The sequence below is a fragment of the Homo sapiens genome, chromosome 10 (genome assembly GCF_000001405.40).
Source record: "Homo sapiens chromosome 10, GRCh38.p14 Primary Assembly".
NCBI lineage: Eukaryota > Metazoa > Chordata > Mammalia > Primates > Hominidae > Homo > Homo sapiens.
In genome coordinates, this window is record NC_000010.11 from 46,202,800 (window position 1) to 46,221,899 (window position 19,100).

Genomic DNA, 19,100 nt, shown 5'->3' on the forward strand with positions numbered 1-19,100 from the left:
CAATCCCACAGCTCTGAAATACAGGAATCCATGATTCTTGAATGCAAACACAACCTACACAGCCTCTCTGTTTCCAAAGACATGCACTGAACCTCCCACATCTCCCAGAATACAAAATACAGAAGCCACATAAACTCAAATACACAAAGAACCACAAACTATTTTTATCAAATACATATAAGTCCACCTCACGAACTCTGAGAACACACATATGAGTGGCAACACCAAATTCTGCGAGTATTTCACTTCACAACAGACACAGAGGACCACTAAGTCTTAATATACCCAAAACCCCTCATATACACACTCGCAAACTACCCATGAATACACACCCCACCCTCCCAGATAAAACCCATACAATGCAAAAAAAACCCCACAAAAACACCAATAATACTCTAATATACGCACACAACTTTCATATACCCATGGGCACATAAAAACTCACAAAAATATCCCCAATCCCTGAGTGTATAAATCCCCCGAAACACTATCCAATCAATATGCTGCATCTCCAGAATACAACCTCCTCACCTCATCCCCTAAACATGCCCAAACACATGTACGAACATCCTAGCATTCTCCAAAGAAATACACTTTAAATACTAACAATCCCGTATTCTATAAATAGACTTAGATAATTCGTCTATCTGCTGATAAATATACACACAAACCAGCATATACACCCAAGATGCATGGAAATATCTCCAGCATATCATTTATAAATACCCATAAAAACACTTCCCAATCCCAAATTATCCCAATCTAGTATGAACCAGCTCCCACATTGCCAAGTACTAACCAATAACCATATCACATACCTCTAATACATATAAATTCAACTCTCCCACTCTCCTGTATAAAAAGAGAACCCCATCTCTCTATCAGACACACACATACTAAATTCCCAGAATATATAACCCTAATAACCACTTACTGCAAAACAGAAGCACATAGCTCCACAAAACCTTCATCTAAACTGCCACGCCCTTAAATGCACACACAAACTCAATACTCATGTAGTTGTCTACATGCCCTAAATATACCCGTGATTAACTAACACGCCACAAATATGCAAACATGCCACCTCATATCCCCAAATACACATACAGTTCCACAATACTGCCCAGCCCAGTTATGACCTTCTTTAATCTGCAATCTCCACACAGACACAACCAACCCACACACGTGAATACATATTAGATTCTCACCAATTAAATACATATCAAATTCCAAACTAAGAATTCATATAAACACATTTTCACATACACAAAACCACCCCCACAAATCTCACACCCTCCAAAATCCAAAATAAATCTTCCTGACATTCTCAAGAACACACTAACCCAACCACCCAAGATAACACACGTGTGTGCAGTAAATTTTAGATACATGTGTAGCCTACAATTTACAAATAATATACCACTACTTTTTATTTGTAAATTCCACATAAGTAAGCGATTCTCATGGAAGCTTTTCTTGACTTTGGCCACACTCTTGCATCCACAACCAACTTGTGCTACCAAGTGAACAAACTATGACTAAAGGCCTGTTCTTCCACTTTGCAGCTGCTCCTATCAGTGACAAATCAGCGTATTAGAACATGTATGCTGGCTGATCATTCTGATCAAGTCAACAAGCTTCACAACTTACTCAATGAGGTCGTCCGTGAGAACTTCACTGTTTTACCAGGACAGGAGCTACTTCTTTGCTGAACTGCATCACGGTTTCAACTGCTGAGGTTTTCTTCAAGCTTTTGCATTGTTTGGAATGTGAAAGGCACGGCTGAGACACACTTCGGCATTCCCACTGCATTGTTACACCTCCCCCATCACTTCAGGTCCAGGTGAGCAAGGGAAAGAAGCGCGGCCTGGGCGTCCCGCAGGGCCCCCGCTAGGAAAGCTATGAACGCTCCCGCCTTGAGCGCAGCCACAGGCCTGCTCTGATCACAATGTGGGGTCGCCCCGCGGACACTGGTGACCAGTGGGAGCATGACCAGGAGGTGATTACCTTCTGATCACCCTTGGCTTTATTTTTAGGTAACACCAAGGACGCCATGATGGCACATGCCTGTGGTCCCAGCTACCCCGGAGGCTGAGGCAGGAGAATTGCTTGAACCGCGGAGGCAGAGGTTGCAGTGAGCCGAGATCACGCCACTGCACTCCAACCTGGGTGACAGAGTGAGACTCCTTAAAAATAAATAAATAAATAATAAATAAACAAATAAATAATTTAAAAAAGTCATTGCTTTATTTTTAAAAAAGTAATAGTTTCAAAATGTATACATGTAAAATCTAACTGGGAATACTTTGTACCTACTTGTAGCCCAAGATTAAGTTTATTCTCAATTACTAGGAGGTTTGCACAATAGAGTACATATTTAATCTGTATGACTAAAAGCCTCATTGTCAATGTGACTGTGTCATCATTATCACATTTGTGAATCTCCTGATTATAACTTTCACAGATGGTCTATCTACAGGGTTCTGGGATAAGAAACTTGCTGTCTGTCTACAGAGGAAGCTGTTTTCACTTCCAGATAGTTCTGAATATTTGAAAGTACTTGCTGATTCAGAGTCAAATTATGTCTTGCTGTAACATCCACAATTTCTGAACTTACATTTGAGATAAACCAAGATTAGACTAAACCATGCCTTCAAGTGACAGACTCTCAAAAATGTGATGCATTTTTTTTCAAAAAAAACTGCACGTCCAGGATACTCTACCTGGAGAAAAACATAGCTCTCATTAACCTTGTCCAGACATTAAACTTATAAGAGAAAATCATTATTTTCCTTGTAGCCAAATTATTCCGCTAAATTGTTTTTAGGCAGGATTAATAAACCTTTACTGTAAAGGGAAAGAGGCTAAGATCTTAGGTTTTGTGGGCCATATAATCTCTATACAACTGTTCAACTCTGCTGTTGCAGTGAGAAAGCATTTATAGACGATACACAAATGAATGAGTGTGTCCATGCTGCAATAAAACTTTATTTACAAAACCAGTCTATTGGCTGGATATGGCTTGCAGGCCATACTTTGCCAACCCTTGGTTTACAGCCTGGCTAGCTAAACACTGCTTGTTGTAGTAAAATCTTGCTTTTTAAAACATATGTCTCTCATCCTAGCATTGTCATTACATGTGTGTGGTTTATTGTTGAATATGTAATATTTAAGGATCTTTCCTATTTAGTTTTATTGACTAAAAGCTGTTTCATAATTATAATACACAGACATCTATATAGGTTTTTATTTTATCATTCAACCTATTAGCTAATCCTTAGAGTTGTTTCAATTTTCATGTGTTTGACAGATGAACATGTCTAAAACACTGATGAAAATGTTACCAGAATATAAACAAAAATGAATTTTTCCGGTTAAAACCATTTTACTTGTTAGTAATATGTAACTATTAACCATTAAATAATTTACCAAATTATTCCATTACGTAATCCATATTGCTCCTTCTTGTCCACAAGAATATAGTAAGGTACATTATCAAATACATACCTCTGACTTTAGTGGGCATTTAATGTATTATTAGAGGATCCCAATATCTGTCTTTCTTAAGAAAATTAAACTCATCCCTAGTGATTATACACTTTCTTCATCTAACACTATAATATTAATAACATTTGAAAAAGTAATGTCAAATAATTAACACTAGATTTACAGAGTATTTTTAGACAGTTTTCTAAAATTATCTGAAAAATTTGGCCAGAATCAGTGTAAAATTCACATCTGAGCTTATGGAAGCCAACTTTATTCCACTCTAAAAGTACAACATTTTATAGTTTTAATTTTATCTTTTAAAATGTTTTAACCTAAAGGTAGTGGAAGACGTTACTAAAGGAAGCTTAGGTAGTAACGTATTTGTCGTCTCAGTTAACACAAAGACCATAGATGGGGCAGATCTGCAGGATGCAAAAACTTTCTTTTTTCTCACCTCATAGTAGCCATATGGCTACTGCAATTCTCTGGTTTCATGTGCTTACAAAATGTCCTTTAGTTAAAAACAAAAAGAAAGAGAAAGAGAGAAAGAAAGAAAGAGAAAGAAGAAGGAAAAAAGATAGAGGAAAAATAATTTCTTCATGTGTCTATTTAAATTAACAAAGACGTGAATTGTCCCAGACCTCCCTGTGATGATTAATTTCATGTGTCAGTTTTACTGGGCTAAGGGTTGCCCACATGGCTGATAAAACATTATTTCTGAGTATGTCTGTGTTTCCAGAGAAATTAGCATTTGAATAGGTAGGCTGAGTGAAGAGGATCATCCTCACCAATATCTATGGGCATCCTTCAATCTCTTCAGAGCCCAAATAAAACAAAAAGGCAGAGGAAGGGTGAATTTAATCTGTCTTCTTGAGCTGGGACATCCATCTTCTCTTATCCTCCAATATTGGAACACCTGGTCTATGTTGGTAGGAGTGTAAATTAGTTCATCATAACCTTGTTGGCACTAGGGACCAGTTTCATGGAAGACAGTTTTTTCATGGACCGTGGTGTAGGGAAGATGGTTTTGGGATGATTCAAGCACACTACATTTATTTATTTATTTATATTATTATTATTTTTGAGATGAAATCTCACTCTTGTCACCCAGGCTGGAGTGCAGTGGCGCAATCTAGGCTCACTGCAATCTCCGCCTCCCAGGTTCAAGCAATTCTCCTGCCTCAGCCTCCCAAGTAACTGGGATTACAGGCACCTGCCACCACACCTGGCTAAGTTTTGTATTTTCAGTAGAGATGGGGTTTCACCACGTTGGCTAGGCTGGTCTCAAACTCCTGACCTCAGGTGATCCACCTGCCTTGGTCTTCCAAAGTGCTGGGATTACAAGTGTGAGCAACCATGCCCGGCACAGGCACATTACATTTATTGTGCACTTTATTTCTATTATTATTACATTGTAATATATAATAATTATACACCTCACCATAATGTAGAATCAGTGGGAACCCTGAGCTTGTTTTTCTGCAACTAGAGGTCCCATCTGGGAATGATGGGAGACAGTGACAGATGCACACACTGCAGGGGGATTGCATTAGATCATCAGACATCAGATTCTCATAAGGAGCGTGCAGCCTAGACCCTTCACATGTTCAGTTCACATTAAGATTGGTGCTCCTATGAGAATCTAATACCACCATTGATCTGACAGCAGGCAAAGCTCAGGCAGTAATGCAAGTGATGGGGAATAGCTGTAAATTCAGATCAAGCTTCGCTTGCTTACTCACTGCTCCTACTGCTGTGTGGCCCAGTTCCTCACCAGGCCATGGACCTAGTCCATGGCCCACAGGGTTGGGGACCCCGATCTAATGTGACAACTCTGGAAATCAGATTCTATACCCCCTATTTGTTGTTGCTGTTGTTGCTGCTGTTATTGTTGTTCAGTGTCTAATGAGCTTTCTGAAATAATTTTGTAGTCTGGGACTACTCTTCAACACTCAGCCAGGCAGTTTACATCTCTGCCTTAGCCTTCACTTCCTGCTTGCCCAGAGCCTCAAGGCCAGTCAGAGGTGAGAGCTTTGAGCCTTCCCAGGTCTTTACTGAACATGTACGCAGGCCTACACTTGGGAGTAGCCTCATAGATTTCTAGGAATCATTCTGTTGGAATTTTCAAAGCCCTTATGGACATCTCATTCTCCTGTTTTACTTTTAAAGCTTTTTAGTTAGCCTATTGTCTGCCCAAAATGTTATCTACAACCTCATACAGGCACCAACTTGAATAACGGCCTTTAAATGTTTTTGACAAATGCCATTAAGGAAAAGGCTTTTTCGTTAAGTGAGCTCTTAGGACAGAAAAAGACATCCTGGCAGTGGGATGTTTCTGAAAACCACCAGCCAAGTCAAATGACAGTTCTCTGGGAATGAGGCTTTGAAGGAAATCCAGCCCCATTCTGTCTTTCCAGTGGCTGCCAGGCTATTGGTCTTCACTGTAATTATGGGCTGTTAATTTTCAAGGCTGCAGTGGAGCCAGCGAGGAGAGGATGAGAATAGAATAGGGCAAGTTAAAAATACCATACTGCTTGCTGTTCTTAATGAGATTTTTCATTTTATTTATTTGTGTGTGTGTATATATGTACACACATACACACACACACACACACACACACTGAATGGAAAATAAATCTTGGGGCCCCAAAATCACTAAGCTAAAGGGAAAAGTCAAGCTGGAAAAGGGTTAGGGCAAACCTGCCTCCAATTCTATTCAAAGTCATCCCTCCATTCACTGAGATAAATGCATATCGGATTGCCTCCTTTGGAAAGGCTAATCAGAAACTCAGAAGAATGCCACTTGTCACTCACCTACCTGTGACCTGGCAGCCTTCTCACTGCTTGTGCTGTCCCACCTTTCTTGGCAGAACCAATGTATATCTTCCATATATTGATTGATGTCTCATGTCTCCCTAAAATGTATAAAACCAAGCTGTGCCCTGACTACCTTGGGCACGTGTCATCAGGACCTCCTGAGGCTGTGTCACAGGTGTGCCTCCTCAACCTTGGCAAAATAAACTTCCTAAATTAACTGAGACCCTTCTCAGATATTCAAGGCTCACATTTTGGCAACCATGAAGGGATTCTGGGTGGAGGCTCCCCTGACCTTTGACAAATCTCCTATCAGTGCTCGGTACCAGCTTGAACTATCTTTATGGCTCAAACCAATAGAACAATTTGCCGAGACAGGCCTGGAAGCACCCCCTCCAGAGAATCACTGATCTTTCAAAACTTGGTCAAGATCTAAAGTTTATTTTGCAGTACAACTCCTTTTTTTTGGAGTTTTACTATCTTCCAACGCAAGAAAGGCAAGTTTTTCCTGCTTTGATGACGATGAAATGCAGGTAACTCCTTTATGGAGTTTGAGCTTGCTTCCAACGGGGAAGACAAATGTGAGTTTCTTCCTTCTTCTAGTAAGGGAGGAGACCACCCCTCATATCGTCTTATGCCCAATTTTTGCCTCCAAAGAAAGAAGTAAAAACTAAAAGGCAGAAATGAAATCCACAGGCAGACAGCCTGGCGCCGCACCCTGGGCTTGGTAGTTAAAGATCGACCCCTGACCTAATCGGTTATGTTATCTATAGATTACAGGCATTGTATAGAAATGCACTGTGAAAATCCCTATCGTGTTTTGTTCCAATCTAATTACTGGTGCATGCAGCCCCCAGTCACATACCCCCTGCTTGCTCAATCAATCATGACCCTCTCACACGCACCTCTTAGAGTTGTGAGCCCTTAAAAGGGACAAGAATTGCTCACTTGGGGAGCTCGGCTCTTGAGACAGGAGTCTTGCCGATGCCCCCGGCCAAATAAACCCCTTCCTTCTTTAATTCGGTGTCTGAGGAGTTTTGTCTGCAGCTCGTCCTGCTACACTAGGATGGTAAAGAGCAGTCTTCAGCCTGAGACCCATCCCTTACCTAAGGATGGGTAACTAAACTGGGGGTTGTCTTGGCTAAAGTTAAGATTAACAACCAGCTGGTTGTAATTTCTCTTTACCATTAGAGCACTCAGTAGTTGGATAAGTTGTGCCATCTTTGTTTTGCTTAATTGTTTTTGTTGTTGTTGTTTGTTTGTTTCTGTTTTTGTTGTTGTTTCAGTCTTTTTGCCATTGGGATTGATCAACTCTATCCGACTTGATCAAATCCAAAGGAAACTTCCAAATTATGGGGAACAAGACCTCTGAAGTGGCTAAATTTCCACACTGTGGTGGGGGAGAAAAACAGCCAAAAAAGGGGAAAAAAAAAAACAGGGAAGATTTTTTACTTTGACTACTTAAGGGGCTTTATTTACATAACAAGGCCACCTTTTTGCTAGCCAGGCCAAACTGAAAGAGCAATGGCTGTCACTCCATACTGCAGTTCCATAGCTAAGGGCTCTGGCTTCTTTTTTTCCACCACGACAGCTTGGGTGTGGTTCCTAAATCAAGCCATTTTCGGTTTGATACTTGGTACTTCTGAAATAGCAGCAATTTGTTCTAGCTGAATTATGGTAATGAGATTTTAAAAGATTTTTTTAAAGGAGCTCAATGATTAAAAGTCAGCTTAACTAAAAGCTAACATCCAAGATGTGTGTGTGTATGTGTTTGTGCATGTGTGTGTGTGTGTGTGTGTGTATGTGTGTGTGTTTGTATTGAAAAGGCCTTCACATATTTTTTTTTTTCTCCTAGGACCTTGTCTCTCTTTTTTTTTTTTTTAGTTAAAGATTTTTTTTTCTCAGTTGACTGAGTTCTGTTTTTTGTTTTGTTTTGTTTTGTTTTATTTACTTCTGCTGCCTCTCCTTTCTCTTGCACCCTCTGCTGCTTGAGGGACCTAAACTATTATAGTTTATAATAGCCTGGCTTTCCTTCAAGAAAGCAGAGAAGGCACCAGACTCCTTTTTGGGGAGAAACCTGTTTTTCCTTATGAAACCCCAAGAGTGTAAGCAGATAAGTTCATCTCAGCTCTTAAATTGCCTGCTTTTGTATTGTGTTACCTGACTTATTGACTAAAAGAGTTGTTGCACCAAAGCCTCCTCTGGTTTTTAAGGAAGAGTGTAGTTTACACATTAGAAGTGTCTTCGTTTAAAAAAAAATTTTAAGTGCACTGTAAAAGCATCACATGGTCTAGCCTCATAATAATTCTCCCTTTTGGGAGATTCAGGATTCAGTGTGGGCTCTGCCCAGAGCTCAGAGATCTAGTCAAAAGACAGGTATTTCCTACATAAATAAAATTGGTCTCTTCATATAATCCTATGACAGATTTCTTTTTTTTTTTTTTTTTTCTGAGACAGAGTTTTCGCTCTTGTTGCCCAGGCTGGAGTGCAGTGGCGCAGTTTCGGCTCACTGCAACCTCCACCTCCCGGGTTCAAGTGATTCTTCTGCCTTAGTCTCCTGAGTAGCTGGGACTACAGGTGCCCACCACCACACCTGGCTAATTTTTGTATTTTTAGTAGAGACGGGGTTTCACCATGTTGGGCAGGATGGTCTTGATCTCCTGACCCCAAGATCCGCCTGCCTCGGCCTCCCAAAGTGCTGGGATTACAGGCATGAGCCACCGTGCCCGGCTATCCTATGATAGATATCTGTAACTTTATGTTTGATTTGGCATCCCTCTTTTGTTTTGTTTTGTTTTGTTTGAGACGGAGGCTCTCTCTGTCACCCAGCCTGGAGTGCAGTGACACAATCTCGGCTCACTGAAACCTCTGCCTCCCAGGTTCAAGCGATTCTCCCACCTCAGCCTCCCAAGTAGCTGGAATTACAGGCATATGCCACCACACCTGGCTAATTTTTGTATTTTTAGTAGAAACGGGTTTTCACCATGTTGGCCAGGGTGGTCTTGAACTCCTGACCTCAGATGATCTGCCCGCCTCGACCTCCTAAAGTGCTGGGATTACAGGTCTGAGCCACTGCCCCTGGTGTAGTACATGGTTTTACTGCATGTGACTAGTTTACATGCAACTAGCCATGCAAGTTCAGTAACCCAAGGCGGTCTATACCCTGTTCAACAAGAACCATCTACTAATGACACTTCTGGAAGTCTGGGCAATGTCAACTTGCTGTAAAAGTTCCCAAATGCTCTCAATTATCATATGATAACAAAGGTCTCAAATCAGTAAATTTTGAGTGGCCCTTTACTAGGAATAATCTTGAATAAGCTAGTACTGCCCTCCACAACCACAATTAAAAATATATCGGTATTGGTTTTCTCTTCAGTTCAAGAATCATGTAAATATGTAATGTAGAAAATGAGGATTTCCCATATTCCCACAGAATCACAAAGATGATCACTGGTAATATGCGTGCTACATATATGATACCAGGTTTATTCTACTCTTTTTTTTTTTTTGAGACAGAGTCTCACTCTGTCGCCCAGGCTAAAGTCCAGTGCTACGATCTCAGCTCACTGCATCCTCTGCCTCCTAGGTTCAAGCAACTCTCCCACCTCAGCCTCCCAAGTGGCCGGAATTACAGGCACCTGCCACCATGCCCACCCAGCTAATTTTTTTATATTTTTAGTAGAGACGAGGTTTCACTAAGTAGACCAAGTTGGTCTTGAACTCCTGACCTCTGGTGATCCACCCACCTCGGCCTCCCAAAATGCTGGGATTACGAGCATGAGCCACCATGCCTGGCCATTTTTTTGTACTTTTATACAATTATATGCTTGCTTTATAAAAATGAACTTATTCTACATATACATGTTATTACATTATTAGGACATGTTCCCAAATGACATATTACATTTTCATCATTCTTTTTTAAAATATTTTTTCGTGAGACAGTGTCTTGCTCTGTTGCCCAGGCTGGAGTGCAGTGGCCTAATCACAGGTCACTGCAGCCTGAAACTCCTGGGTTCAAGGGATCCTCCTCTCTCGGCCTCCTGAGTAGCCCAGCTAAGTTTAAAAAAAATTTTTTTTTGGCCTGGCATGGTGGCTCACGCCCATAATCTCAGCACTTTGGAAGGCCAAGGCGGGCAGATCACTTGGGGTCAGGAGTTTGAGACCATCCTGGCCAACATGGTGAAACACCGTCTCTACTAAAAATACAAAAATTAGCTGGGCGTGGTGGCAGGTGCCTGTAATCCCAGTTACTTGAGAGGCTGAGGCAGGAGAATCGCTTGAGCCCAGGAGGTGGAGGGTGCAGTGAGTCGAGATCATGCCACTGCACTCTAGCCTGGGTGACAGAGCAAGACCCTGTCTCAAAAATAAATAAATAAATAATTAAATATATATATATATTTAATTATATATATATATATATGGAGAGACAGGTCTCACTATGTTGCCCAAGCTGGTTTTGAACTCCTGGACTCAAGCAATCTTCCCATCTGGGTTCCCAAAGTGTTGGGATTAGAGGTGTGAGCCACCATGCCCAGACATTTTCATCATCCTTTTTTTTTGAGACGGAGTTTTGCTCTTGTTGCCCAGGCTGGAGTGCAATGTCACGATCCCGGCTCACTGCAACATCCACCTCCCAGGTTCAAGTGACTCTCCTGCCTCAGCCTCCTGAGTAGCTGGGATTACAGGCATGAGCCATCACGCCCAGCTAATTTTGTATTTTTAGAGGACACAGGGTTTCTCCACTGTTTTTACTAGACCTTGATCACATCAAAAAGATTGTGTCTCTTCCATTTATTGTGCAGCTTGTACACAATTGACACAATGAGGAGCTCAGCAAAGGACGCAGAGTGACAGCATCCTCCCTTCAGTGGAATGGCCATGTCTAGACACCTCTTAATCACTCCCGAGAAGTAGGGATGGGTTCGGTGTATGAGAATAAGAAACGGAGCCTCCAGGGTTGAGACAATTTGCCCAAAACACACCTCTTGTGGGAAGTACAGTTGCGATCCCCCAGGTCTCTTGGGCTTGCAGGTTCCTGCTCTCCCGTGGGCCCCCAGGAGATGTTGGCTGCCAAGAGGAGGAGGAATCCTCCTGGGCAGAGGTTAACTTTTGCCACTCCAGGATTTGCCCACCCTGGGGTCCCTGCCGGGAATGTTCCCCCAGCACCACCCTCCCCATGCCGCCTCCTAACTGGCTGTGTCCTTCCCACCATTCAGCAAACACATCCTACATCCAGGACCAGCCCCTTCATCTCAGGAAGGCTGCCATGGGACTCCCAGAACCCCCATGGCTCCTGGAGCCCTGAGGGAATCACATCTTGGGTGGGGAGTGATTTGTTTTCTCATCCAGTGCAACCTTGGAGGTAACAGACAAGAATGTCCTGTGATGCGAAGCACTTATTGTCCTGACCTCTGGTCCAGTGCCCTTCGCTCTAAGCACATAGCATCCCCAGGCTGTTCCTGGAGGTGTGGGCTGGGGTTTGTAGGGACTAGCTGGACCAGCTGGGCCAGGGGAGGCAGCCATGCCCGGGGCACATAGCCACTGCCCAGAGCTGCCCCCAGAGCTGGGAGCCATCTTGCACATGGTGCTGTGAGATGCCCTCCAGAGAGGAAGATGGAAGCTGTCTCCGTGCCCCGGGACTGATGAAGGGCCCATTCCAGGCCTTTGGGCACCCGGGCTCGCTACCCTTCTGGGAGCCCTGTCCTGTGGGCCAGGACAAAGGTGCCCTCACTGGTGGCATTCTCAGAAGCTCAGCCACTCCCCACACATGCACATAGGGGCGTGCCCACACCAAGCCACGTGTGGGTGTCTGGGGACAATGAGTCTTGGGGGAGGGGGTGGGTCCCTTCCAGAAGGGTCTGGCCAAAGTCCAGTTATGAAGGTGAGCTGAGATGGGCTCCCTCAAAGGAGCCATAGTGTGGGGAGCCCCGGGCAGAGCCCAGAGAGAAATGCCAGCCCCGAGACCGAGACACGCTCCAAGGAGTGCTGCCAAGAGCAGTAGACACAGCCGCTGAGGCCCACGGGGCACAGTGAGGCTGTGGGAGAGGGTGGCCCCTCTGTGGCCATTTCCCTGCCTGTGCTCACATCCCCTCCTCAGGCCTGTCTCACCAGCTCTTGCAGCCCATGACCCACATTCTGTCTGACTCTCCTTCCTCTCCTGGCTACAGGGATCCCCAGTGCCCCTCACCATTCCTTCTGGTCTCTCCTCTGCCTCCCGGAACTGTTCCCCAGGACTCTCTCCTGGGTCAGCCCTTCCTCCCACTCCACATCAGTGGTTCCGAACCCCGGATGCCTTTGGGATCAGCTGGGTGCATTTTAAATCCTTCCAGCCCAGAGCCCTGAGGCCCAAGTCACCCCCGCCTGCTCCTGTGGCACCCCTTGGATCAGCCAACCATTTTATCATCATCCATCACGTCCCCTGTCACCAAGAGCCTCTGGCATGTTCTGTTGTCCCCACGCCCACACTGGCACCCCTCATCCACCAACCTGTGCCCACGTCCTGCCTTGAGCCTGTTTCCCCTCCTGAGTGGTGTTTCCTCACTCCAAGTGGGCACTGAGGCAGCTGGCAGACCTGGCTGTGAGCTTCTGTCCCTTCCAGAAGGATCCTCCCCTCCAGATTACCCAGTCAAGCTTGACCCCATGGTGCCACTGAGACAGACCAAAAGAGGGTATTGAAGCCACACAGTCCCCTGAGCCCCACTGAGCTGCACCAGCTTTGGAGCTGGAGACAGCCCGGGAGACTGAGCACTGAGTGCTAGGTCACCATGGAGAAATCATTGTAACCTTCCCTTTCTCCCACTCTTGAGGGCCCTGGGGGAACACAGCGCACAAGGTGAGTGGTGGAAGAGGCATGTGCTTGGGTGCTTGGCACCTAGCCGGGGTTCATTTCTGTGGGTTCCCAAGATCCCAGCCACATGTCCCACTCCTGCCTCACAAAGTGACAGGAACTCCCTGTTCTGGACCCTGAGCTGAGTGTCAGATGCTGACCATGGAGACCCTGACTTTGAGGGGAGCACAGACTATCAACACAGTCCTGTGAACACAGAGAGAAGAGTACAGGAGGATGCTGTTTGGAGCACAAAGGGTGTGGTGTCGTCTACTCTGGGACCTGGGTGTTGGAGGAGGCTGCTGTGAAGAAGGAACCTTCCGCTGGGCCCTGGAGAATCACAAGCATCATAGGAGTTAGCCAGGTGGAGGTTGGGGGTGGAGGCATGGGGTGGACATGGCGGGAAGTGAAAGTGAGGTAAGGGAGAACTTGAGGGCCCTTCTGCACTGACAGGGTGAGTGCATGGGACAGGGTGAGTGTGCACTGGAATGGAGCGTGGGTGCAAGAGACAAGGCATGTGTGCACAGGAGGGAGCATGTGTGCATGAGGGTGGAGTGTGTGCACAGGGATGCTGTGTGTGTACATGAGGATGGAGTATGTGCAGAAGGATGAAGCATGTGCACGCAGGGCCAGGGCATACGTGCATGGGGTGTGTGTACCTGGGGACTGAGCATGGTGTCCAGCCTGTTCCTCCTAAGTAGTGGGCACCAGCTGATTCCTCAATGAATAAATGTCAGCCAGAAAGAGAGGAGATGCACCTACAGGCTCACAGCAGGAGAAGCATAATGCATTGGTGAGCGTGTTTCCACAGGGGACAAGGAGGGTGGCGGAAGAGGCGTATGGGTGGGGTGCTGGGTACCTAGCCAGGCTGTGTTCTGGTGAGTGAGCCCAAAGGGTCTGAGATCAGCTGCAGGCATCCTCATCTCTGCATCTGGACCACTGGACCTCAGACATCTCAGGGAGCTGTTGAGTAGGCAATTGGAGAGAAACTTCTGGAACTCAAGAGGAGGATGGGGGTGGAGCCATGGCCTCAGGCATCATCCCAGGGGTAATAGTGAAGCCACAGATGTGCCTGAGAGCTGCCCAGAGAGAAGCCAAGGCCATCCAAGGCAAAGAGCAGACACTCAGAAAACCAGGGGAGCACTCCGCTGGGAAAGACAGGGCCAGGGGTTTGCAAGACACAGCAGAGCGCAGGCTACGTCTGACCAGTGGCTGGTGAGATTCACAGACAGGGGCCACTTTGGGCCACTGCAGGATGTGGAGGGTGCTGGGCGTCAACGGGTTGCCCTGGAGGGTAGGAGGGAGGCAAACAGCTCCTGTGGGCAACAGCGGTGGGGCAAGGGGCTGGGGTGGTGGCTGTACTGGAAGGGGTGAGGGCCAGAGGACAAGGAGGGAGCACTCTGGGAGTCCTGGAGAGGAGAGTGTGAAGACACAGGAGAAAGAGGGAAAGGAGATCAGGCAGGAAAGATGAGGGAGGGGAGTGGGAGCCAGGGCCTGACTGGAGACTCGACTTCTGACTTCCGACTTCCGACTTCCGACCTCCAACTTCCGTTAGGAAGTGAAACAAAGGCGAAGGCCCTCTCTGTCAGGGTACTCAGAGGAAAGGTCAGGGAACCAGGGCATGTGGGAGAAGAGTGGGAGTCCTCCCAGTGTTGTGGGGAAGGTGTCTGTTTAGCTGGAGGTGAGATTCTAGGTCCGGTGTCGGGGAGGTGGTGAGTGTGGAGGCCGGGAGATTAGAATTAGTCATTGTGGTGCAAAAGGGAAATTAACCTACAGAAGCTGTCCAGCGCCAGCGTGAGTATCAGTCAGAGGCTTTGAGCAACCCAGTGCTCTAGAGGAGGTAAAGTGAAGGCTTCCCTGGTCTCTGACATGAACTTGTTCTGACTCCCCTTGTAGAGGCCCAGGAATGTGTCCTGCCTTGTCCACAGGGGAAGGCCTCCACCCTGCTCAGCCTGCCTGGCAGAAATGTCCCCCAGCCCTCCTGGAGCCTTAGCCCCCTGAATGTGCCCCACAGCAGACAGCTATCAGATTCCTCCACAGGTGTTCACTCTGTGGCCGGGCAAGTCAGCCAATTTAAACCGTATATGTTTGCCTGTGTGTATATGTTTATGTGCGTGTGCTTTGGGATGTATGTTTGCCTGTGTGTCGATGTGCATGTGTGTGCGTATTATGTATGTGTGTGTGTGTTTGCTGATGTGTGTGTGTTTGTGATTGCATATGTTTGTATGTGTGCATGTGTGTGTGTGAGTGTGCATGTGTCAGCTTTGCCGTCTTTCCTTCAACCTCTGGCTGCTGCAGATGGTGGAGTGAGCTGAAGATGCTAGAGTGAGCTGAGGCTGGTGGAGTAAGCTGAGGCTGATGGAGTGAGCTGAGGATGCTGGAGTGAGCTGAGGATGCTGGAGTGAGCTGAGGATGCTGGAGTGAGCTGAGGATGGTGGGGTAAGCTGAGGATGGTGGAGTAAGCTGAGGCTGGTGGAATGAGCTGAGGATGCTGGAGTGAGCTGAGGATGCTGGGGTGAGCTGAGGATGGTGGAGTGAGCTGAGGATGCTGGAGTGAGCTAAGGATGGTGGAGTGAGCTGAGGCTGGTGGAATGAGCTGAGGCTGTTGGAGTGAGCTGAGGATGCTGGAGTGAGCTGAGGATGGTGGAGTGAGCTGAGGATGGTGGAGTGAGCTGAGGCTGTTGGAGTGAGCTGAGGATGCTGGGGTGAGCTGAGGATGGTGGGGTGAGCTGAGGATGGTGGAGTGAGCTGAGGCTGTTGGAATGAGCTGAGGATGCTGGGGTGAGCTGAGGATGGTGGGGTGAGCTGAGGATGGTGGAGTGAGCTGAGGATGGTGGGGTGAGCTGAGGATGGTGGAGTGAGCTGAGGATGGTGGAGTGAGCTGAGGCTGTTGGAATGAGCTGAGGATGCTGGGGTGAGCTGAGGATGGTGGGGTGAGCTGAGGATGGTGGAGTGAGCTGAGGATGGTGGGGTGAGCTGAGGATGGTGGGGTGAGCTGAGGATGGTGGGGTGAGCTGAGGATGGTGGAGTGAGCTGAGGATGGTGGGGTGAGCTGAGGATGGTGGAGTGGGCTGAGGATGGTGGGGTGAGCTGAGCATGGTGGAGTGGGCTGAGGATGGTGGAGTGAGCTGCCCTGCTAGACACTCCTTATCTGCTCCCAGCACACAACATCCTGTTTCTGGTTTCCATCTCGGTCAGTGGGGCTGCAGGGCAGATGCTGCTCAGATCTGTCTTTGGAGTTATTCCACTTTTTGTCTTGAACTTTCTGGTTGTGTTTCATTTTTCATTAATGCATTTTAGAACTTCGGTCCTTTTAAAACTCTGCATTTGTTATAATTAGCTGTTCTTGTCATATAGTTTTATTCCTTTATCTTTTTTTGAACATTTTATACACCCTTATTTCAATGTTCCTTTTAGATCACTCTATTCTCTTTACTCTCTGGGCTTTGAATCTCCTTGTTTCTTGTATCTGCTGCCTCTCTTTGGGATACCTGGGAGTTTTTCCTCTGACCTCGTCTTCAGTAGGAAATGATTTTCCATGAGAATCCTGGTTCCCCTGGATGAGGACGGTGTCTCCTGGGGAGAATGTCCTGTTTGGTTTTGCTGGAGCCTGGCAGGTTCTCTCAGTTGCAGATGGGTGTAATGTTAGCTCCTCAGCTCAGAGTTTCTGCACCAGCTCACCGCAGACTTGGGCCCTGGTTTCCCACAGATGCCCAGGGCAGGGGGCCTTCCTCTGTGCTAGGTGCTGCTCCGTGGTATTTGTTCCACGAGTCTGCAAACATTGTTTTGAAGTCAGTTTGTAACATCTGCCTAGTAAACAAAAGTAACACTTGTGTCTCCTGGAAAAATGGACTGTCACCACCCCCTTCTCTTCTTCATCCCAGTCCTCAGGGAGGCCCCTGAGCCACTGATGTCTGAGGCCACCAAGGCAGGAAGACCCTGGGGAGAGGGTAAATGGGAGATGCCTCTCAGCCCCTGTGCCTGCTGTCCCCTGGGCCCCAGGGTAGAGCTTCTGCAGACTTTGTTCCTTCCCATTTCTGAGACAGCCTGAGCTGGGGCCACCCTCCCCTTCATGGAGTCCCAGCTGTCAAACAAACACCTCCAGGGCCATCTGTTCTCTGAGCAAGAGTTTTCCTCCTGGGATGCCCCCACCCACCCACAGAAGCAGGGATATAGGGAAGGAAGGACCAGGATTTCTGGTTGCAATAATTGTATCCGTGAGTTTGAGACTCCCAGGTTACCTTTGGACTTATGAGCTGAACTGCTGGGCATTCTGGCCTGGATGTCCCTAGAGCCCCAGAACCTCCACAAGGATCATGAGCAGGGGGTCACTGCCCCAGAACCATGAGGGCACCCACATGGTCTACCCTGGCTCCTCACTCATCAGAGGAAATGACGAGATTCCAAGGTCCCCTCCGGTATTGCAAGCTGGCCTGAGCCATAGGGTCCTGTCCCAGCATGGCATCAAATGCCTGGAGCTCATCCTGCAGGAGCAGCCATGGCGGAGCCCCCAGGTGTGCTGGGCAGGGAGGATGTGTGGAATCTCATTCACTCTGGACAGCTGTGGCCCCCAAACTACCCATAACGATGCAGTCCAGCCGGAACTGGGGCCTTTTGGCTTCATAACATGTTGGAGTCTTTCCCCAGAGCCCCATTGTCTTTTAGAAATTACCACTTAGAGAGGGTAGTGCTTCTGATAAAGACAGGCATGCACTGAATTGTGTCCTCCCCAAATTTATATATTAAAGTCCCAACCCCTGGTTCCTCAGAATGCAGCTGTACTGTGGTTGGAGAGGATTTGTAAAGGTTAAATTAAACAAAGTCATTAGGGTGGGCCCTAATCCAGTACGACTGGTGTGCTTATAGGAACAGTTTAGGAAACAGACATGCACAGAGGGTAAAGCATGGGAGGACACAGGAGGAAGGTGGCTGACTCGGAGGAAACGACCCTCCCCACACCTTGACCTTGGACTTGCAGCCTGCAGAATTCTGAGAAAAAAATGTCTGTTTTTTTGTCACCCAGTGTGTGGGACTTTGTTTTGGCCACCTAGTGGACTAATACAATGGCTTTGCTGTTAACAGCCCAGACCCACGTTTCCTGCACATAAGGCATGGGACTCACTCATCCCCTCTGCCCAGGCCCAGCCCTGGTCTCCGAGCTGAGTTCACTGGGTAGGCTGCAGGCAGCAGGCAGGAGTGGGGCCTGATGGAACGGGCGATGCTGAGGCAGTGAGGGCGGCAGAGGGATGCTCACTGGCTCATGTGGCTCAGCTTCGTGGAAGCATCAGGAGCAGGAGTGAAAGAAGCAGGTGACAGGGGCCACTCATGGGGAGACAGATGGGCAGGCTCCTCCACATGCTGGAGACAACTTTGGGGGCACCTGCTCCACCTGTTGCCACATCCTCAAACTTCCCCATACCCCATGCTGGATCCAGCAGCAGCCCTGATTGTATGGTATGACCTTGGTGGTCAGATCAGGCATGGACAGCTTGACCCAGACTATGGGATCAGAATCTCTCCCCAGCAACGTGGCCATGGGGTCATCTGAACAGAGGATGAGCAACCGCAGACTTCAGGGCTACTAGCAGCCAAGTACACAGAGAGGCAGAGGTGGGGAGAGGGGAGCAGGTGCAGAGGGAGAGAAGGGGCAGAGCTGAGGCCGCATGGCCCAGGGAGCAGGGAAACCTGAAGGAGACCCCAAGCAGGGGTCCTGTGGGCTTTCCAATGTCTGGTCCTGCTGAGGCCTGGCTGCCCTTGTGATCATGAGCTGGCAACCTACAGTCACTACAGCCCTGTCCTTCTGGTCTCCTCTTGGGTCCTGCCTCTGCACAGCCTGTAGCCAGGCTCAGGCTGGGATCTCCCATATGGACCCTAAGACGGGCTTTCCTATACTTCCCATGGAAATTCTCCAGCTGATAGAAGAAGTGAACACTGATAGAAGATGAACAGCTGATAGAAGAAGTGT

The 19,100-nt window shown here is 47.2% G+C and overlaps 1 long non-coding RNA gene and 1 pseudogene across 3 annotated transcripts in view; both read right to left on the bottom strand.

Moving 5' to 3' along the window:
• Positions 1-2,106, bottom strand: part of LOC124902418 (uncharacterized) — a 30,001-nt gene extending 27,895 nt beyond the window's left edge. Inside the window, exon 1 of the long non-coding RNA XR_007062137.1 lies at positions 1,651-2,106. This is a non-coding gene — a long non-coding RNA (uncharacterized LOC124902418). The remainder of the gene's footprint in view (positions 1-1,650) is intronic.
• Positions 2,107-16,225: 14,119 nt separating this feature from the next.
• The window catches only part of ANTXRLP1 (ANTXR like pseudogene 1), a 50,584-nt pseudogene continuing 47,709 nt past the window's right edge, over positions 16,226-19,100 (bottom strand). For both annotated transcript variants that reach the window (NR_103828.1, NR_103827.1), the window contains one exon: positions 16,226-16,907. The product of NR_103828.1 is annotated as an ANTXR like pseudogene 1, transcript variant 2 (transcript). The remainder of the gene's footprint in view (positions 16,908-19,100) is intronic.